We start from the raw sequence: 22,591 nt of genomic DNA, 5'->3' as shown, positions 1-22,591 counted from the left end.
TCATTCCAATTTTTTTTTTAACTCAAACTATTGTCAGTTGCATAACTGCCAGACTTGGTAGCCATAAAGTAAAATAACAAAATAAATGTAAAAATAAGCCGGGTGGCATGCGCCTGTAGTCTCAAGTGCCTGTAGTCAGGAGCTGAGTTGGGAGGATTGCTCAAGCCCAGGAGTTTGAGGCTGCAGTGTGCTGTGATAGTGCCTATGAATAGCCACTGTACTCCAGCCTGCAGAACATAGAGAGACCCTGTCTCAAAAAAAAAAAAAAAAAAAGTCTGCTCACAAAACAAATATTTCCTACTACCAAGGCTGAGACTGCCCAGTAGAAGTTGATGCAGACAAAGATCTTCCAGCAATTGTTGAAACCATTACATTGCCTCCAAAAGTGATCCTGTTAAAACAGAACTATTCATTTGGATGTAGGCTTTCTGTCACTGTGTTAGTTAGTCAATATAAATCTATTTGGTAATCATTGGAGAGAATGGAAGTAATACAGAGAAAGATAATACAGAGTATTTATTTCCAAGGAGTTTCTTCTCTCCTGGGCTTCTGGTCAGACACCCAACCAAGCATTATGCCCACTCTAAGTGCTGTAATGGGTATGCACAAAGTGCAATTACTTAGCCATTTCCTCCACTCACATCCAGGCATTTCACAGCTTGCACAGCCTGAATCCACAGCCTCACTCCTACAGACAGATGCTTAATGTAAACACTTAATATCCATGTGTCTGTAACAGTAATAACGTCATCAGAACCCTAAAGGCAAAAAGGCTTTAAGAAGTAGCTAGGTAGAGAGTAATAGATTTATACCATGAAAATGTGTTTAATCAGGAGTCTGAGTACATGAAAATAACATCAAATCAACCCTATCTCTAAAAATGAGAGAAAAATTAAATAAGTAAGATGGATACTTGAAATATTAGTGTTTATTAGCAGAGTTTTTAGTGTGTAAACATACCCACCCTAATTTTGTCTTGAGAATTGGATTCTGAAAAAACTGTGATCAGCACAAAGGCATGTTGATACCCTGGCACCATGAAAGCATTGAAAGGGAGAAAAATGACTGGATTGGCAAAAGTCTTGACAAGAGAGGCCAACAGAAACCAAAAGCCTTCACGACTGTAACTCAATTTGTTTTCTGAGCTCAGAAGAGAATGACACTGTGCTAGATGGATTTCAGTTGTCCTTCCAGATCTGCTCTCCACTTCTCCACACTGGCCAGCACCCTTCATGTGCTGCTCACAAAGCCGAGAGCCACAGAGGAGCACACGGGGTGAGCTGTGATGAATGATTTTCATTTACCTTTCCAGATCCTCTGTCCACCCTGCTGTGCCGATAGGCATTTACGGACCATAGCGACAAGCTCCTTTGTCCCCTGGCTTCTGGTTAGAGAGCCAATGAGATGCACGGGCAAAGACTGCATGGAGAGGGAAAAGTGAGGTTGGGGCATTGCCTGCCCTCCCTGCAGGGCTGTGAGTCTCAGAGTCCATGTTCCACGATCTAAGGCCAAGCGCCCGTCAAGCAGGCAGCTCTCTTTCATAGCTTCCAGGTCCAATGACCTTCCCTCTAAGGGTGGTAATAGCACTCCATGCTTAACAATCACTATTCCTTTTAACCCAGTACATCTTTGCAAATTAGCCCTTTTTGAAACTCTTCAGTTTCCCTCATTTGACTGCATCACTTTTTTCTCATGGAAACCCTCACTTGGGGATTATTGTTTAGGGAGAGTTTCCCCAGTATTTTTACAGAGCTAACAGGAAGTTAATTTGCCTGCCCTTTGTACAGCTCAGTTAGATCAGCTTTTGTCTGGAAAGGAGCCTTGCAGGGCTTGGCTTTGTATCCTGTTGGGATGATCATCTCTCCAGTGTGATGACTAAGGGTTGTGTCCAGTTAGTGCACTAGCAACTGAAGTTAGGAAGGCTCGGGTGGACGCTGCCAACCAGCAATCCAATCTGCCTGATGGCCAACCCTTTGACTGCTGGGAGCCTGGAGCTTTCTGAATCAGACAACTTCCAGACTTCACATGTGCTGCCAAGCACAAGGTATGAAAAAGGTTTCTTTTCTTTAGATTCTGCTTTTTCACTAAAGCTGCATCTTTATCCAATTAATTAGAGAAATGTTACTCAAAGCATAGTCTGGGGACCACTGCTGGTATGCACACTGGTGGAGCTTGCACCAGAATAAGTTCACTACGTTCCACTGACAGGCTTTTTTTCTTTTTTTTTTTTCTCGGTAGCAAGACTTTTTGATGACTTGTTGATTTACAATTTCATAAGCTTTTTTTCTCATCACAGATGAGGAACAAATATTTACCAACCTGGTATTTGGGTACTTGCAGTAGCACTGAATTAGAGGACTGTGAAATCAGACCTAGGCAATAAACTAGGTCAGCATTTCCCATGTTGTGCTCCATGGAATCCTAATCTTGTGACAGCTTGTCTATTAAGAGGAGGAAATGCTTAGAGAGTCACAAAGGACATGACCATGTTAATGGCTCTGATAAGTCCTGCAGTTAACGAATGTGCTTATTTTTGTTCAGCACAGAATTTCCCATACTTGTTTAAAATGATTATGTTATGTCATGGCTATTGCCACTTGTGAAATGAGTGTTCTGTGGAACTAACACTGTTGGCAAGGAAATGCTTCAGGAAGTGCTCAGCCAGAGGATCTCTAGAGTCTCTTGGGAAGATATTTATCTTCTCAGGGCCCCTGTTTCCTTAACTATCAATTAATGTCTAACATCTGACTAGTGGTTGGCATTTTCATATGCATGTCCTCAATGAGACTCGGGTTATCCTGTGAGAAATCGTGCAGGAATGGTACATCCCAGTCCACACAGGAGTAATTGAAGGGTCAGACAGATTATGTGACTTACTCAAAGTCACACAACTTGTAAAAGGTGAAACTAGAATTTGACACTCAGGTCTTCAAATTTTAAAATCTATTATTTCCTACTATACTGCATTGAATCTTTGAGCTGGAAGGACTCTTAGTGGATAATATGTCTAATCAGGTAAGTAATACTTTAGCAAAGGAGGGATTCAATGTGAATTCAGTGCTGGTCATTTAACTTTTAGCTGAAGTTCAAACCTGTTTCTTTACATCATTTTGACATCTTCCTCTTGTTATGGTCAAAGACAGCTTTCCAATGTCCTATGCACTCACCATCTCAGGGAATGGGTCACATTGTCATATTCGTCTTCTGAAGTGAGTAGAAGACGGCCTTCCACAAACGTTGGACCTCTGGGTTTGTTCACAGAGCAAGGCAATGACACTGGGGAGATAGGAGGGCACTCTATATTTATATTCTGTATTCCTGAGTCAAGAAAAAGGAGCGTGAGATTTAACAGCACTTGGCTAAAACAATTAAGTCACAGCCTATCTTCTTGTGGTCAACTAAAAGAAAAGAAAAGAAAGTGAGATTATTTTTGTATTTTTAAAAACAAAGGCTAAGAAATAATCTGCTCACAATGTTCTCCATTCTGTATGTGTGTGTTTCTAACTAGTTTTTAAAATTCGAATGATTCATTAATTCATTTGTTCATTCATTCAGTAGGCTTTTCTTGAGTACTTACTCTGGGCCAGGCAATGTGCTAGGGGTTGAGGAAACAGAATGAATAAAATTAATTTGTCACCCAAGTCAAACATGAATCATCATTACCATCACAAACAAATACTGAGCATCTTCTATAAAAGGGGCCAGTACTGGGCACTTCCGGGATCTATAATAAGACATACCAAGGCAGGGTCCTTGTCCTCCAAGAGTTCAGTCTCCTTGAGGAAATAGCTATGCCCATAAAAGGCTAAGCATCATTGTGCAATGCTGAGTGCCAGCCCAGTAGCATGAAGAACAAGAGTAACCAGCATTCCAGGGATAAGAAGTCACTCTTGGTCCAGGCAGGTGGGAGCTGTCAGAGTGGCATAATTGTGGTCAAAGCTAATAATAACTCTATTATAAACCACAGCATTGCAAGGAAGCAGGAATAATTTTTCTGAGAGAATGAAATCTTTTTGGTTTAAATTGATCTCACGGAAATAAATCTGGCACTTAAAAGAGTTTTGGGTTTCATTTATGTCATGAGGGTCCATTTGCGGGTGACTAGTTCCCGAAATAAAGAACTCGTCTCTCTAGGCTGGAGTAATTTTGAATCTGAGAGATGAAAGTTCATTATTCTTTTGGAAGTTAGTCAACATTAATTGTGTTTGGCACTTTTTAGGTAAGGAAAATTATCCTACACTGGATGGTTACAATTACATTGTTATGTCTGAGAGGATTTTCTCATGTAATTACTATGTGCCGGCTCTCTAATTACAAGGAGGGCCTGAATTTTCTTCCTGTCACTGCAAATGATGTCTCTACTATATTGAAAAAATAGCGGACTTTCTTTTCCTCAAATAAGGTATCAAAACTGGTAAGCCATGAAGAACTTAAAAATACCGTTGACGATATAGATATTTCTACAGCTTTATTTTAAAAGTTTAGGTATCATATCCTATTGGATTTAGAGAAATTTTGATAATTTGATTAAAATCTTATGTTTATGTTGTTACATTCTAAGTAGAAAATCAGATCCATGCTTAGTGTGGGTTTTAAATTTTATTTATTCTAAATTCTTAGAAAAATGCACAGCTAATATATGACTTACTTGACCTCAACTTCAATGAGCAAAAGAAGCTTGCAAATTTAAGGTATTTAATAAAATGCCTCCCCCACCCACCTTGAATTCTCATAGAAAATACCACAGGGTTTGACTACAAGCAAGAAACACTAGAGGTTTCTTCCTTCCCAATAAGGACAGTTATTAAAAAGCTGGGTGAAATAATTTTCTTACATTATTTCTCTTAAAAAATCCAAGAGTTAATAAGATAGTGAAGATTTAATCTACAACAGTACAGAAGACAAAATCCCGGGAAAGTAAGTTGAGCACACAAAGCTGCTTTGACCTCAATAGCATTTTCCAAACCTGAAGAAACATGCAAAACTGAGGTGCTGTCTCGGTGGCCTCACAAAGCAAGTAGGAAAAAAGTGAAAACCTAGGCCCACCCATAGTGGGGAGCCCATTCTCTCCATAGATATTAAACTGAGATCCAAGGTTTATGCCCTCAGGGAAATAGAAAGCCTAAAGGAAAACAACTTTTGCTTGGATTTGCAGCCCAGGTTTGCATCAACTGGATGGTCCAAGGAGCCTCAAGCCTTGAACTTAGACTAAGCAGATCCCTTACTGGTAAAGCTCCGGGAGCAAATAAGAATGGTCTCCAGAGAAAAATTCTGTCATCTCAGAGTTTAATCACTCTCAAATTATTTTTCAAATACAACAACCAGTCTACAGTCAAATATGACTTGTTGCATAAACATGACAACATAAATGAGAACTAGCAGAAAAAAATAGACAATAGAACCAGACCATAAAGACCTAAAATGTTAAAATTATAAGATACAGACTACAAAATGTTTATTATGTTTAAAGAAATAAACATGTTTCCAAGGAATAAGAAACTACAAAAAGTCCAACAGCACCACCCAACTTTTGTAAAAACAAACAAACAAAATGCCTTTAAACACTTCCAAATACATTTCAACAGAAAAAGTGAGGCCAGTGATTGCCATGGAGAGCTCCATGGCCAAAGTCACATACATTTCCTGGGGTGACCAGTATCCAACAACTGATCAATACTGGTTATGAAGTCCTGGCCAATTCCTGGTCACCACAGCTGCATAAGTTATCCCATCCTCAAACTCCCTGTGAGTCGCCCGACACTTCTGTTGAGTCTTATTGGATGATAAGCTGTGGTTGTTGCTTGGGCACTTTAGCTCCTCATGGCAAGGGACAGGTAGGTATGGAGAAGAATCACCATCTTGGCAGAAGTAATTGACTCCTGATGTTAGGCAATAAGGGCACAGAGGAATATAGTTAGCAACCAGTTGATTCCCCTGGGTGCCTCCTGGTATTCCTTTCCTTAATTGTGACAGTGAATGGTCAAATGCAGCAACCTGGCCTGTGAAAGGCATGGTGATCAGGGGCTCAGACCCTTCCAAGTCTGACTCACAGGACCACATAAGCCAGTGAGTCCACAGAAATGTTAGAGAAATCCAGAATGGAGAGAAAAGGAGGGACCTGATGAGTGTTTGTTTTGGCCTTGAGATCATCGGCAGCTGTAGTTCATCCCACTAACCTTATTCTCCTAAATTTCCCTCTGGAAGAGAGGCCCACTAAAATCCTGGAGGCATTGCTCCCAGAACCTGTTTGAAGCACTGGGTCCAAGTAGTGCAATGTGTGGATTATGATGGATGTGGTTATGGTCAGCCTAGATCACCCTTTAGGATTTGAGGCACTTCCAAACTGATGAGATGACCCTGAGCCACCTAGCTTAAGGACTCACTTCCTTCCTGGGTGGCTCATATCCAGGGACTAATCAACATGGGGACATAATATCCCCTTTCTCTCCTCTTCTCCATGGGGGGCACCACTGAAGGTGATTTCACCTTCAGAACTCCCTGCAGGGTTGACTGTGTCTTCCATTGAGATATCCATCATCACAGTTCAACTGTGCCCAGTCCTACTTTCTTCTCTTCTCTTACACATGTTCAATCTGCAAAGCACTCCTGCGTAAACCTCCTGTGTTCAAGTCTGTTATTCAGGAGACCCAGCCTGTGACACTCGGATCTTCACTGAGTTGAGCTTCTGTACCTTACTGGGGTCCAGATATTTCTTCTTCAGACATTCTCTAATTTTAAGAACCTCATCTAAGGGACAGGAAGTCTTTGTTCTTTCTGACAATCTGGACAAGCTTTCAGGACATTTCCTAGAAATCACGCTGCAAGGAGTGGCAGGACTCCTGATATTTGATATATGCCCTACCAAACTCATCCCAGCTCTTCCCATATTTGACAATGACTTCAGAGAAACCAACAAAGTCTAGATTCTTAGGAGGGGGAAGCTAGTGCCCATCCCTCTTCACAGCTGAAAACACTCAATTGATTCAAAGTATTTGCATTTTAACTTTAAGAGCCCAGGCCATTTATCTTAATGATAGTGGGCCACTGTAGTGCCAGCAGTATCTACAACAAGGTGGAAATTGTAGGAATAGCACTAAAATAGGGACGTGGGGGACAAGCTGCTGGCTATCCCATGGAGAGTTTCAGATGCGGTGCCCCTAGAGAAGGCCACTGTATGACCAAGTTGCTTTAGTTAAAATCACTAAGTGACTAAGGGTCACTTACTATGAGTGTCGGTAGAGACAAAGTTTTATTCCTTCACCACAGCAATGCCCCATTCCCCAAACCACTGAAAATAGACTCTGATTAAATTAGCCTATATTTGAGGACACTCACATTGGTATCATTTTGAGTTTAACGTAATCAAGCAGAAACCTCAGCTGTGGGAACCATTTTAATGCAGAGCCCATTTGTATTTGTCCCCTCCAGATCAATCTAAATGCAATTTCTTCGCATTAGGTTCTTTGCTGGTTTGCAAGTAAGCTTTTTGATTTTTTTATTTTAACAAATACTAAATGTAGAAACATCTATTTTTAACAAGAAAAATAGACACTCTTAAAAACAGAGCATGCTATTTTTTGGTTTTGGGAGTGGAGGTAGAAGAGCAGTTGGGGAAGTTTAACCGAACATGGCCTATTTTACTGGTTCCAGTATAACATAAGTGTTTTCAGTTATGAGCTACCTTGATGGATTTATTTACCTTTAGATGTTTTTATTGGCTTGGGGAGCCACGGGGTTAAAGGAAAAGAGGGAACAAGGAAGTTAAAGCCTTTGAAAGAAGACAACCAGTGGTGTCATCCAAGCATCCCAGCATTAAAACTAAATAGGATTCTGTAAAGTTTCCCTATAAATTGGTTACTTGGAACCCAGAGCCCTGGAGAAAGAGACTTGCCCAGGCTGCCAGTCAAAGAAAGACATATGCATATGGATTCCCTGAAATTAATGCGAGGGGGAAAGTCTACTAGGATTGTAAATGATCTAAGTGCTTAATGCACTTTCTTGGCAGATCCGAAGCAAAATTGTTTCCTCAAATTCAGGCCTCAGAGGCTGTGAGCCAAGCAGTTGTCAGTGGGTCTTGTAGTTAGTAGATACTTCTTCCTCTCCCCACACCAACGCTTATTGGGCCGTCCTTTCCCAGCTCTAAAGCTGAGAACCCTGCCCTTTTGTGCTCCTCTGGCCTAGGCCTGCTGGCAGCAGCAGCTCCACACTTCTGCCTGGAGGGCAAGAAAAGGAGGGGCTTGAGGGTGAGGGGACTCACAGAGTTGGAGGGGCATGCCACTTTGCCCATTTGCTTATTTCATCAGTGATTGATTTTTCTTTCATGAGAGAAGGAAAAACGAGAGGAGAGAGTGAAGGTAAAAAGGAAGTTCTGCAGCCCTGGAAGAATGTCTGAGGGACATTCTGATTCAGGAGTTTATAGCTTGGGCAGGGTTGGCACTGATACTCACATGATGCATAAGAACCAGGCTGATGAGTTGAAAATTAGCTTCTGTTTTGATTTTGTCCCAGAATACAAAAACATTCACTTTCCTTGATAGAAAGCAGAGTTGAGAAGACTTTCTATCTGGCAATATTTATAAACTTTATGGGATCCTTACATAATGAGATGAAACGAAGTTTTATTATCTTAATGGCTGTTGCTTAGAAATGTTTTGGGACCCCGAGGGCTTGAGTGTTTCTTGGCCACAAAACTTCAAAGTATAATGTGAAACTGGCTTGCACTGGATATGAGAGAAATTCACATTTTGCTCTGAGGATAAAGGGAGAAGATAGACAAGAAGAGAAGAAATGCAAGGAGGAGGAAGACAGAGCATGGAGCCAAGTGGACAGAGGAGAGGACCAGGTGCGGGTACTGGCAGGTGAAGCATGCAGTCATGGGGGCGGCTGAGGCTGTGCGAGAGGCATGGTAAGGCTGCTCTTCCACATGAAGTTCCTGGCCTTGCTGTGTCATGAGACTCCATTTCTGCTCCAGAATCACCCATAAAGACTCCTCTGTTCATATTTTCTTTTCCGTGGAACTCAGAAAGGGGGCAGGTGTTCTGTGGTATGGTCCTCATGGTATAGCACATAGTTGAGACAAGCTTAGGAGGAGGACCTCATGAGAAAGTGAGGACTCGTGGGACTCATGGGCTCCTGCCAGTGGTGGATTTGGGAGAGCAGGATTGAGTTAATTTGATCCAGATCTCCAAGGGCCAGGGACTCAGTACACAACTTTTGAGTAATAAAGATGATGGAAAGTAAGATATTATTTGGTAAAATCTGCATGACGTCCCAAACAGTAGGATCCAGAATACATGGGAACACTCTTTCTCTTCCAATGCATTTAGATTTGCAGTCTCATCAGTGCTGGGCCCTGCCTGGCACAGAGTAGAAGGTCATTGACCCTGCTCTCAAGTGAGGGTGGGTATGTAAATAAATGAATACAGGAAAATGAGTACGCTGATACAGCAATGAGGAAAAATGCAGCATTCGTTGAAGGCAAGTCATGCCTTATCAGGTATAAAAACACTACAGTGGTCCTCAGCCTTGATGGGTCAACCCTTCTTAGTGTGAATTTTGTTAACGGCCTGTGTCTGAAGTACCTTTCTAGGCACTGCAACTTTCTGAGTGTTTCCCTTCAGGACTCTATGTTAAAACAAACAAACCCAAACAAAAAAACACTTCTGTATTTCCATGGAAGTGATTTTTAAGAAAAACAAATAATAAAAATGCATGACTTTTGGGTTGCCATATCAGGGCAAAAATAAAGGAAATAGTGCCTAGAAAGGGATTGTGAAGGCAGTGGCACCCTCTGCAAATGGCACCTGTTGCTACAGGTGCAGGATTTCTGGGAGAAGAAGAGGATTTCTTCCTGACAGGCAGGTCCACAGTGCAGCGCAGGCCATGCTGATACAACCTGGAGCATCTCACCATTAAGGGAAATTCCACATTAGGGAACATGGACATTTAGAGATTTTTTTTTCTATTCTTCTGACATTTATACCTTGCATACTTTTGCTTTAGAAGATATAATTGACATAATTTTTAAAATGGCTTGCTGTGTGCTATGATGACAAGACAGGATTTAGAGTCAAAATTCCTGGATTTTTATCCCGACCTCTTAACAAACCAGTTGCCAGAACTCATACAAGCCACTGCTTTGTGAGGCCTCAATTTCCTCATTTATAAAACAGGCTGCTAATAACATCTGACATTTTCACAAAAGCCTTTCTCTGGCTTAATGCTAAGTGTCATGCAATTGACAGTCTTTAAATCACACCTCCTAGACCTTGGGAAAGCAGTTTGTTAGTTTATTATTTATGTAATCCTCTCTGTCTTTCTGAACACTTTCTATGCTTCAGGCACCATACCCAGTGTTTGAATTGATTGTCTTCTTTCTTTTCACCACCACTCTACGAATTTGGCACTATCACGACCCCATTTTTACAACCAGGGACACGGGCTGAGAGGTCAAACAGTTGGCCGTGATCACCCAGCTGAGATCCTGGCCTGACCCAGAGCCCACACCTCAGAGCCCCCTCCAGGAAGCAGCCAGCTAGTTCTGTATCTGTCTTGAGTTTCTGTCTAAAGCTCTCCTTACCCCTCCTCCTTCTGCCTGGAATGAAGACAGAAGTTGCCCAGCGCCATTCAACCACCTGCATTTACTGTAACTATGTCACCAGCATCTCTACTTTCTGAAACCTCTGAGTGGTATCATCTTGGGCCCTCAGTGCATAGATTTGCTAGAGAACCCCCAGCATCCTTCAGTGTTTGGAGAGTTCCGTGTGATGAATGGTACCATTGGTCTTTGTGTGCTTGGCGCTGGAGCCCCTGATGTTGATTAGACCAGGACTGATGAGCTGCTTGGCTCCTGCCCAGCTGGCAGGCCCCAGCCCCCACTTCTCACACCTAATTGAAGCAACACAGCCCAGGCTCTCCAAGACCACTCGCTGCCAAATGATGAAAAATCCTCTGACCTCCCTCCTGATTGTTTTCAAATTAAAAGGTACTTTGGGGACAACTGAAATTCCCCCAAGTGCTTGTCTGAGCAATTTTGGCAGCTTCTCCCAAAGTGCTCTGGCTCCCAGCACAACCACCCAGCCTCAGACTCTCCACCTAGCGCAGGGCCCAGGTCCTGTCTGTTTTCTGAGCTCAGACCTTGAGCACAGTGCCAGCTCCTTGCCTGCTGGGGGCTTCTTCCTGCCCCAGGGGAACTGATACCTTTGCCTCACATTGATACGTGGAAAGAAGAGCAAGGGGAAGGGCCCTGGAATCTGCTCTGGGCTTCCGGGGGAGCAGCTTCTAGTACCGCAGCTGAGGAGCACAACCATCAGCACTGGGCATGGGATGCTTGGGGGCCTTTGCTTAGTTCTATCTGTCAGGGAGGACCCTCACTGATTGAGGGATGCACAGAATCATTAGTTTTCCTCCCCACCTACAAGGATAAGATCCACAGAGAGTTAGAGCTGAAAGGGGCACAGAGGAGCTTGCTTTTCTCATTCAACCTTATGTTTTGAGATTTATATCTGTAGACACATGCATCTCTTTATCAATTGTAACTACTGTAGATGTGTCCATTGTGACTATGCTGCCATTTATTTATTTATTTTTCTGTTGATGTACATTTATTTTCAATTTTTTACAATTAAGAATATACCACAAATGAACTTTCTCATAAATGTGTCTTTATATGTGTATGGGAGTCTTTGAGGGGTAGATAAATAGAATGAAATTTCTGGGTCTAAGAGTAGGCACATCTTTATCTTTCTGTGTTGTCAAATTCTTCTCCAAATTGATTGCACCAATTTGGATCACCTCCCACATTGTGTAAGAGTTATCATTTCACACTCATTAGATTGACAAAAGTGAAAAAGTCTAACATCCCCTAGTATTGGAAATATCGTGGGGAAATGGGAGCTCATGGCTGTTTTAATTTGCATTTTCCAACTCTTAGTTGATTTCACATTCTGGTTTCTGTGTGCACGTGTGTGTGTGTGTGTGTGTGTGTTGCTGGTTTATATCCATTGCCCATTTTTCTATTGAATATTTTGACTTTTTATCCTACTGATTTGTAGAAATTGTTTTTATGTGTTGGATACTTTTCCTTTGATGATTACATGAAGATCAGTTATCTTCCCCCAGTCAGTGGCTGGTTTTTCACTCAGATTACATTAAATTTTAAAACTTACAACAACAAAAACACTATAAGTAATCTTTTGCTTTGCAGGTGCTGCTTTTGTGACTTATGGAAAAAATCCCTCTCTACTTTGAGATCATATTCTTCTTTTTTTATATACAATTGTAATCTGATCCGGGCTGAAAAACGAAGTATAGCAGTTTAAATAGCAGGAAGTAGTCAACAACTCATTATAAAAGCAACAGAAAACACGGAAATGTGCATCAGAAAGTCCCACCGGTTTCTCCCAAGTGTTTGACCTTGAGAAGATCACTGAACTTCTCTGTAAAGCAGGCAATATGTGTCCCTGTGTTTCTCACCAGTTGGTTGGGAAGCCCTGAACACATATCAAGTAGGGTTGCTATTCATGTAGCCTGCCCTCAGCTGCTATTGTAGTCTTGTCCTCTGGGATTTTCTGGACTTGTAAAACCTCAAGCTGCAGTTAAAACACCATCCTCCACATCCTAGGCCAGAATGCCTGGGCTCACCTGGGTGACTCAGCTGAGACATGGCAAAAAAACACTCAAAACTTTGAATCTGAGCCGGCTTCTTTCATTCAAGTAAGGGCCAGTTTACAGAGCCCCTCCAAGGGAGATGGTGCTTGGAGTAGGGAGGTAGGAAAAGGTTGATATAGTTTGGTTCTGTGCCTCCACCCAAATCTCATCTCCTGTTAGGGAGGGGCCTGGTGGGAGGTGATTGGATCATGCGGGCAGTTTCCCCCATGCTGTTCTCATGATAGTGAGTGAGTTCTCACAAGATCTGATGGTTTTAAAGTGTGGCACTTCCCACCTTGCTCTTTCTCTCTATGGCCACCATGTAAGACGTGCCTTGCTTCCCGTCACCATTTTAAGTTTCCTGAGGCCTCCCCAGCCATGCAGAACTATGAATCAATTAAACCTCTTTCATTTGTAACTTACCCAGTCTCAGGTAGCTCTCTGTAGCAGTGTGAAAATGGACTAATACAGGGGTCCACAATGAAGTCCTGGATTCCTCAGAGGGAGGAGTGGGGAGAAATGAAATATTAGTCCGCACTGTCTCCCTCAGCCAGATTCCTGTAGGTTTTCTGGAGTAACTGATCAGGACTAAGTCTAGGAAAACTGGAAAAAGAAGAGATGAAATTTGTTTTGAACTGAACTTCAGTTTTGCTATTCTGCAACTCTTAGTTCCTTTTTTGATGCTCTTTCTCTTTCTCCCACGTCACGCTCATAGTACTCCCACCCCCACCACCAATCTCCTATTCTGCCTACCAAAACTTGCACTTGGAACAGCATCTGGCCTAGAAGGCCTCAATAAATGTGGCTATTATTAGCAAAGAATAAAGGAGTGGCATCCTTTTGTAATGTACTTTACATGTAGGTACAATGATCATCACCCCCATTTTACAGATGAAGAAACTGAAGAAAAAGAGGATACATTAGCAGCCAAGTTCATGGAAATATTAATTAAAGAGGCAGATTCACATTAAGGTGGAGCCCACACTCTGAAGAACTCTGGCTTCTCAGGCCTTGTTGACCTGCAGGTGCCTAGTTCCCTCCTAGGGAAATGGGTGAGTTATTTTTAGTGGAGTCCCCTCTTGGGATGTGTGTGTGTGTGTTGTGTGTATTCAAACAGAGGAACAGGGATGAAGGGAAATGAGAGAGCAGTGAAGACAGAATTTGAGAATGTGGGCTCTCTAAGGGTCAGCTTTGAAAAAGAATTTTTAAAAATAATGGGAAAAGAAAGGCTTTATCTTATTTAAAAGGCATTCTTTAAAAATCACCATCACCCACAATAACAACAGATAAGGAGAAGGCAGTAACTACTGATGGATTTCAGAAAAACTTGGGAAAATATTTAGGAACAGGGAGTCCATCCTCATGCCCCTACTGAATCTACCCACATTCATATCACCAGCCAGTTGTGAGCAATTGCCCCAGAGCCTCTCTGCAGGGAGCCCTAAAGGACCAGAAGACAGATGGAAGAGCAAGCTCCTCCTGCCCTGGGTTCAGTGGTTCAGATGGTAGTCACTGGTTCTAGAAGCCTCATCAGGAACTCCTAAAGGAGAAGGAGCCAAAGTCCATTCCCAGCTGAGTGATTCCAGGCTGTGGAAGGTGGGAAGTTTGAGGGGAAGAAGGAGCCTCACCAACTCTTAAATCTATCCCAAGACTCTAACTCTTGCCTTTCCCATGTAAAGACCCATAACAGAGAGCATCACAACATGGAAGAGAGAAAACATCCACCTCAGCCTAGAGAAAGCTTGATTTAGAGATCACAAAACAATTGTGTGTGTGTGTGTGTGTGTGTGTGTGTGTGTGTGTTTCTTTTTAACACCACTATAGTTGAATTCTGACTCATTTTATAATGTGGGATGTTCATTCAATATTTTAAAGTTTAAAAACCAGTGAGTGGGGCTTCAGGTTTTCAGTCCAGCACATAAGGAACTTAGAATTCATCACTCCATCCTAACAATAAGCAAAAAGCTGAACTAGCTGAAAAATTAGCAGCCAAAGAGGTGAGGTCACAAGGAAAACCACTGTCCCCAAAATTAAAGAGACAGACAAACATCTACAGAGAATCACAACTTATTGTGGCAGAAATCCAGAAGTAGAAACCTCCATAGGAATCAGTTCTGGGTAGAGAAACCTGAACTGTAATTGATAAATTGCTGTAGACTAGATGTGAACAAGTCTGAAGATTAAAACTCCAGGAGGACCCAGTCGTGAGGGAGGTGGCACACTTTCATGAGTTTTACCTCCAGGAACTCTACCAAGTTATCACTGTAAATATTAGAGAAAAATCCTCTTGGGCTTCTGGTCAGGGAAGGGGAAAGGGAACCATTTTAACATATACCAGAGCATTTTGTTCTTCTTAACAAGGCCTGTGCCCGGGAGAAGCTATTGTACTAGAGCCTCACTTGCTGTGGTTTTGTGAGAGCCTAAACCTACTGGAAGAAGGAAAATAAGTCAACTCTAGCCAGCTCTAGCCTTCCACCTGGGGAAAGGGAAACATACAACTACAGTTCTTTCTAGCCTTTCACATGTGGTGAGGTAATTACCCAACTCCAGCTCACTCTAGCCTTCCGTGTGGAAGAAAAATACCCAACTTCAGTTCTTTCTAGCCTTTCATATGGGGGAAAATAATCACTCAACTCTAACCCACTCTTCCCCACTAGAAGAGTGGAAAAAAAAAAGAGAGAAAAACTAAGAAGCACTGGCGAAGTTCACAGTCCAGGGTCACAGACTCACCAAAAGACTGAGACCTAATCATAGCACTGTAAAATACTTCCCCTCCCCTCACACCTTACCACTACATTACTAAAGACCTACCTACCATAGTTTCCTTTACCCAGCACATTGTGTCCCTTTTTCAAGAAAAAATTACAAGGCATTCTAAAAGCCAAAATACACAGCTTGAAAAGACTAAATAAGCAATGGAATGAGAGTCAGATATGGCAAGAATGTTGAAATTATCAGATTCAAAATGTTTTAAACCTATGATTAATATGCTAAGAGCTTTCATGGAAAAACTAGACAACATGCAAGGACAAGTGGATGATGTATGCAAAGGGATGGAAATTCTAAGAAAAAACAAAAAGAAGTTCTAGAGAAAAAACATTGTACAAGGAATGAAGAATGCCTTTGATGGACTCATTAGTGGACTGAACACAGCTAAGGAAAAAAATCTCTGAGCTTGAGGATATGACAATAGAAATTTCTAAAACTGAAAAGCAGAGATTAAAAGAAAGGTGGGGGGGACCTAACAAAATATCCAAGAACTGTGGGGACAACTACAAAAGGAGTTATTTATGTGTATATAAATAACTAAAACAAATTAAAGAAATACCAGATGGAGAAGAATGAGAAAGGGGAACAGAAAAAATATTTGAAGCAATGGTGACTGAGAGATTCACCCAAATTAGTCAAACACCAAACCACAGATCCAGAAAGCTCAGAAAACATGAGGCATGAAAAATAAAACATACAAACAAACAAACAAACAACCCAACTACATCTAGGCATATCATATTCAACTTCAGAAAATCAAAGATAAAGAAAAAAGTCTTGAAAGAAGCCAGCGGGAAAATACATCTTACCTATGGAGTAGCAAAGATAAGAATTACATATGACTTCTCCTCAGAAACCATGCAAGCAAGAGGAGAGTAGAATAAAATATTTAAAGTGCTGGGAAAAATGACCAGCTTAGATTTCTGTATCCTGTAAAATTATCCTTCAAAAGTAAGGGAGAAATAAAACCTCTCTCAGAAAAAAAAAAAAAAAAAAACACCAGAGGGAATTTGTTGCTAGCAGATATGTTTTGCAAGAAAAGTTAAGAGAAGCTCTTGAGAAAAAATGAAAATAATAAATGTCAGAAACTCAGGTTTCCAAAGAAAGAAAGAGCATCAAAAAATGAATAAGTAAAGGCAAAATGAAAACTTTTGTTTTTCTTATTCTTAATTGATCTAACAGATAACAATTTGCTCAAAATAATAGCAATAATGTATTCAATAGGTATGCATATATCCACAAGTGAAATGAATTACAGCAATGATACAAGGGATGGGAGCAATGAATTAGGAGTATTTTCTTATAAGATATTAGTACTACCTGTGAATTGGTATAGTGTTATTTAAAAGTGGACTTAAATTAGTTGTAAACTTCAAACTCTAGAGCAACCACTAAAAAATGTTAAATATAATTGATATACTAAGAAAGGAGAGAAAATGGAATAATATAAAATGCTCAGTTAAGGCCACAAAAGGCAGAAAAAGAGTGGAAGACAAGAATATGAACAAAGAACAAGGGCAACAAATAGAAAATAGTAACAAATATGGTAGATATTAATCTAACTATATCAATAATCATTTTAAATGTCAATGGTCTAAATACACCAATTAAAAGACAGAGGCTGTCAGAGTGGGTGAAAACACAAGAATAAAAAAATTAAGATTCAACTATATGTTGTCTATAAGAAATCCACTTTAACTATAAAAACCATGACAGGTATAGATTAAAAGTGAAAGGATGGAAAAAGATATACCATGCTAACACCGATCATAAAAAAATGAGAGCGGCTATGTTAGTATCATATAGAACAGACTCCAATGGAAGGAGAGTTATTAGGGTTTAAGAGGCACATTATACAATAGTAAAGGATCAGTACTCCAAGAAAACATAACAATCTGTACTGTGTAAGCTTCTAACAACAGAGCATCAAAATATGAGACAAAAACTGATAGAACTGCAGGGAGAAATAGATTATCCACTACCATAATTGGAGATTTTAACACTCTTTTATTAGAAATGGACAGATCCAGCAGGCAAAAAATCAGCAAGGACATAGTTGAACTCAACAGCACTGCCAATCAACTGGATATTACTGACATCTATAAACTCCTTCATCCAATAACAGCAGATTACATATTCTTCTCAAGCTCACATGAAACATTCACCAAAACAGACTCTACATTCTGGGCCACAAAACACATCTTAACAAATTTAAAATAATAGAAATCACACAGTGGCTACTCTAAGACCACATTGAAATTAAACTAGAAATTAATAACAGAAAGATAGCTGGAAAACTTGTGACCTCAAGTGATCTACCCACATCAGCCTCCCAAAGTGCTGGGATTATAGGCATGAGCCACTGTGCCTGACCAACGACACATTTCTAAATAACATGTGGGTCAAAGTAGAAACGAGAAAGTTAAAAATAATTTGAACCAAATGAAAATAAAAATACAACTTTTCAAAATTAGTAAGATGCAGCAAAAGCAATACTTAAGAGGGAAATTTACAAGGTTGAATGAATATATTAGAAAAAAAGATTTAAAATCAGTAATCTAAGCTTCCGTTTTAGGAAACTAGAAAAAGAAGAGTAAATTAAATATAAACTCAGCAGAAGGAAAGAAATAATAAAAATTAGAGCAGAAATCAATGAAATTGAAAATAGGCAGTCAATGGAGAAAATTAACAAAACTAAAATGTGGTTCTTTGAAAAGATCGATAAAAATCAATAAGCCTCTATCCAGGCTAGGAAAAAAAGAGAGAAGACACAAATTACTAATATCATAATTGACAGAGAGAGCATTACTGCAGATCCTACGGATATTAAGTGGATAATAAATGAATATTATGAACAACGTTATGTCCACAAATTTGATAACCTAGATAAGATGGATCAATTTCTTGAGAGATACAATCTGCCAAAACTCATACAAGAAGAAATAGAAATCTAAATAGGCCTACGTCCATTAAAAAAAAGGAACCAACAATTAATAAGCTTTTGAAAGAGAAAGCACTAGGCCAAGATGGGTTCACTGGTGAATTCTACCAAATATTTAAGGAAACAATTATACCAATTTTCTACAATTTCTTTCAGAAGATAAAAATATAGGGAACACTTGGCATGCTATGAGGCCAGCATTACCCTAATTACCCATTACCCTAAAACCAAACAAAGACATTACAAGAAAAGAAAACTACAGGCAAATAACTCTCATAAATACAGATGCAAACTTCTCAACAAAATATTATCATATCAGTTCCCACAATGTTTAAAAAGAATTATACACCATAACCAAGTGGGATTTATTCAAGGTATGAAAGACTGGCTCAACATTAGAAAATCAATATAATCCATCATAGCAACAAGATAAAGCATAAAAATTACTTTATGATATCAATAAATTCAGCAAAAGCATTTGTAACAACGCAACACCCATTCATAACAAAAACCTTCAGCCACTGCTCAATGAAATAAAAGAGGATACAAAGAAATGGAAGAACATTCCATGCTCGTGGGTAGGAAGAATCAATATCATGAAAATGGCCATACTGCCCAAGGTAATTTATAGATTCAATGCCATCCCCATCAAGCTACCAATGACTTTCTTCACAGAATTGGAAAAAACTACTTTAAAGTTCATATGGAACCAAAAAACAGCCCGCATTGCCAAATCAATCCTAAGCCAAAAGAACAAAGCTGGAGACATCACGCTACCTGACTTCAAACTATACTACAAGGCCACAGTAACCAAAACAGCACAGTACTGGTACCAAAACAGAGATATAGACCAATGGAACAGAACAGAGCCCTCAGAAATAATGCCGCATATGTACAACTATCTGATCTTTGACAAACCTGAGAAAAACAAGCAACGGGGAAAGGATTCCCTATTTAATAAATGGTGCTGGGAAAACTGGCTAGCCATATGTAGAAAGCTGAAACTGGATCCCTTCCTTACACCTTATACAAAAATTAATTCAAGATGGATTAAAGACTTACATGTTAGACCTAAAACCATAAAAACCCTAGAAGAAAACCTAGGCAATACCATTCAGGACATAGGCATGGGCAAGGACTTCATGTCTAAAACACCAAAAGCAATGGCAACAAAAGCCAAAATTGACAAATGGGATCTAATTAAACTAAAGAGCTTCTGCACAGCAAAAGAAACCACCATCAGAGTGAAAAGGCAACCTACAGAATGGGAGAAAATTTTTGCAATCTACTCATCTGACAAAGGGCTAATATCCAGAATCTACAATGAACTCAAACAAATTTACAAGAAGAAAACAAACAACCCCATCAAAAAGTGGGTGAAGGATATGAACACACACTTCTCAAAAGGAGACATTTGTGCAGCCAGAAAACTCATGAAAAAATGCTCATCATCACTGGCTATCAGAGAAATGCAAATCAAAACCACAATGAGATACCATCTCACACCAGTTAGAATGGTGATCATTAAAACGTCAGGAAACAACAGGTGCTGGAGAGGATGTGGAGAAATAGGAACACTTTTACACTGTTGGTGAGACTGTAAACTAGTTCAACCATTGTGGAAGTTGGTGTGGCAATTCCTCAGGGATCTAGAACTAGAAATACCATTTGACCCAGCCATCCCATTACTGGGTATATACCCAAAGGATTGTAAATCATGCTGCTATAAAGACACATGCACCCGTATGTTTATTGCGGTATTATTCACAATAGCAAGGACTTGGAACCAACCCAAATGTCTAACAATGATAGACTGGATGAAGAAAATGTGGCACATATACACCATGGAATACTATGCAGCCATAAAAAATGATGAGTTCATGTCCTTTGTAGGGACATGGATGAAGCTGGAAACCATCATTCTCAGCAAACTATTGCAAGGACCAAAAAACCAAACACCGCGTGTTCTCACTCATAGGTGGGAATTGAACAATGAGAACACATGGATACAGGAAGGGGAACATCACACACTGGGGACTGTTGTTGGGTGGGGGGAGAGGGGAGGGATAGCATTAGGAGATATACCTAATGCTAAATGACGAGTTAATGGGTGCAGCACACCAACATGGCACATGTATACATATGTAACAAACCTGCACGTTGTGCACATGTATCCTACAACTTGAAGTATAATAATAATAATAATAATAATAATAAACCTTCAGCAAACTAGGTAGAGGAAAGCTTTCTCCATTGATTAATAATATTTACAGGAAGCCTACAGTGGCCAGGCATGGTAGCTCAGTCCTGTAATCTCAAAACTTTGGGAGGCCAAGGCAAGAGGGTTGGTTGAGCTTAGGAGTTCAAGACCACCTGAGCAACATAGTGAACCCTGTCTCTACAAAAAAATAAAAAAATTAGCTGAGCATGGTAGTGTGCACCTGTAGTCCCAGCTACTCAGGAGGCTGAGAGGGGAGGATTTATTGAGCCCAGGAGGTTGAGGCTGCAGCGAGCTGTGATCATGCCACTGCATTCCAACCTGGGTGACAGAGTGAGACCCTGTTTTATTTTTATTTTTATTTATTTATTTTTTTAAAGCCTACAGGTAACATCATACTTAGTGGAGAAAGTAGAAGCATTCTCACTAAATCAGGAGCAAGATCAGAATGTCTCCTTTTGCCGCCACTTTTCAACATTTGTACTGAAAGTCTTAACTAATATAGTACAACAAGAAATGGACATAAAAGGTATGCAGATTAGGATAGAAGAAATAAAACTCTTTTTTCACAGATGACATGATCATCTATTTAGAAAATCCAAAAGAGTTGACAAAAAAAATCCTGAAACAACTAAGTGATTATCACAAGTGATTATCACGCTAGATGAAAGAGGAATATACAAGGCCCATTGTTTTTCTATATACCAGCAATGAGCAAATGGAATTTGAAATTTAAAACACATTACTTTTTATATGAACACCTCCCAAAATTAAATACTTAGGTAGAAATCTAACAAAATATGTATAAGACCTATATGTGGAAAACTACAAAACTGTGGTGAAAGAAATTTTAAAAGAACTGATAGAGAGAGGTTCCATATTCATGGATAGAAAGATTCAATATTGCCAAGATGTCATTTCTTCCTTACTTGATCTGTAGATTCAAAGCAAATTCAATCAAAATCCCACCAAGTTATTCTGTGGATACTAAAAAATTGATTCTAAAGTTTATATAGAGAGGCAAAATACTCAAATAGCCAACTCAGAACTGAAAGAGAAGAACAAAGTTGGAGGGCTGACCCTGCATGACTTCAAGGCTTACAATAAAGCTACAGTAATTAAAACAGTGTGGTATTGGCAAAAGAACAGACAAATAGTCAATGGAACAGAATAGAGAGCTCAGTAATATAAATACAAATATAGCCAACTGATCTGTGACAAAAGAACAAAGACAAAGCAATGAAGAAAAGATGGTCTTTTCAAGAACGGTGGCAAAACAACTGAACATTCACGTGCAGAAAAACAAAAATAAAAAAGAATTTAGGCATAACCTTACACCCTTTACAAAAAAGTAACTCAAAATTAATCATAAACCTAAACATAAAACACAAAATTATATATAAAACTCCTAAAAGATAAAAAGTAGGGAATAAACTAGATGACCTTGGTATGGCAATACCTTTTTAGATATAACAGGCATGATTCCATGAAATAAATAATTGATAAGCTGGACTTTATTAAAGTTAAAAATTTTTGCACTGTGAAAGACAATGTCAAGAGAATGAGAAGTCAAGCCACAAACTGGGATAAAATATTTTCAAAAGACACATCTGATAAAGGATTATGATTCCAAATATACAAGGAACACTTAAAACTCAAGCATAAGAAAACAGCCAACCCAATTAAAAAATGGACTAAAGAGCTGAATGGACACCTCTCCAAAGAAGATATACAGATGGCAAGTTAGCACATGAAAAGATGTTCAACATCATATGTCATTAGGGAATTGCAAATTACAACAACAGTGAGATATTACTACATACCTATTAGATTGACCCGAATCTAAAACACTGACAATACCAAATGCTGAAAAGAATGAGGAGCAACAGGAACTCTCCTTCACGTGGGTGGGAATGCAAAATAGAATAGCCAATTTGGAAGACAGCTTGGCAGTTTCTTATAAAATTAAACATATTCTTACATTTGATTGATAAATTGTGCTCCTTGATATTTAC

General features: G+C 39.8%; 2 long non-coding RNA genes across 4 annotated transcripts in view; one reads left to right on the top strand and one right to left on the bottom strand.

The window, feature by feature from the left end:
- The window catches only part of LOC105378969 (uncharacterized), a 45,510-nt gene extending 32,256 nt beyond the window's left edge, over window positions 1-13,254 (bottom strand). The window contains exon 1 of one of the 2 annotated variants that reach the window (XR_948330.3): window positions 13,072-13,254. This is a non-coding gene — a long non-coding RNA (uncharacterized LOC105378969). Of the gene's footprint in view, window positions 1-3,167; window positions 3,387-13,071 lie in introns of those variants that run through there. The other variant, XR_007058769.1, reaches the window with a different exon arrangement.
- LINC02998 (long intergenic non-protein coding RNA 2998) overlaps window positions 1-22,591 on the top strand; it is an 84,101-nt gene that overhangs the window by 39,048 nt on the left and 22,462 nt on the right. Inside the window, exon 1 of one of the 2 annotated variants that reach the window (NR_104659.1) lies at window positions 1,887-2,044. The exons of the other annotated variant lie outside the window; for it this stretch is intronic. This is a non-coding gene — a long non-coding RNA (long intergenic non-protein coding RNA 2998). Of the gene's footprint in view, window positions 1-1,886; window positions 2,045-22,591 lie in introns of those variants that run through there. 2 annotated transcript variants of the gene reach the window in all.

Source organism: Homo sapiens, chromosome 5 (assembly GCF_000001405.40).
Source record: "Homo sapiens chromosome 5, GRCh38.p14 Primary Assembly".
NCBI lineage: Eukaryota > Metazoa > Chordata > Mammalia > Primates > Hominidae > Homo > Homo sapiens.
Note: the sequence above shows the minus strand (reverse complement) of the source record. Positions and strands in the feature narration are given on the sequence as shown.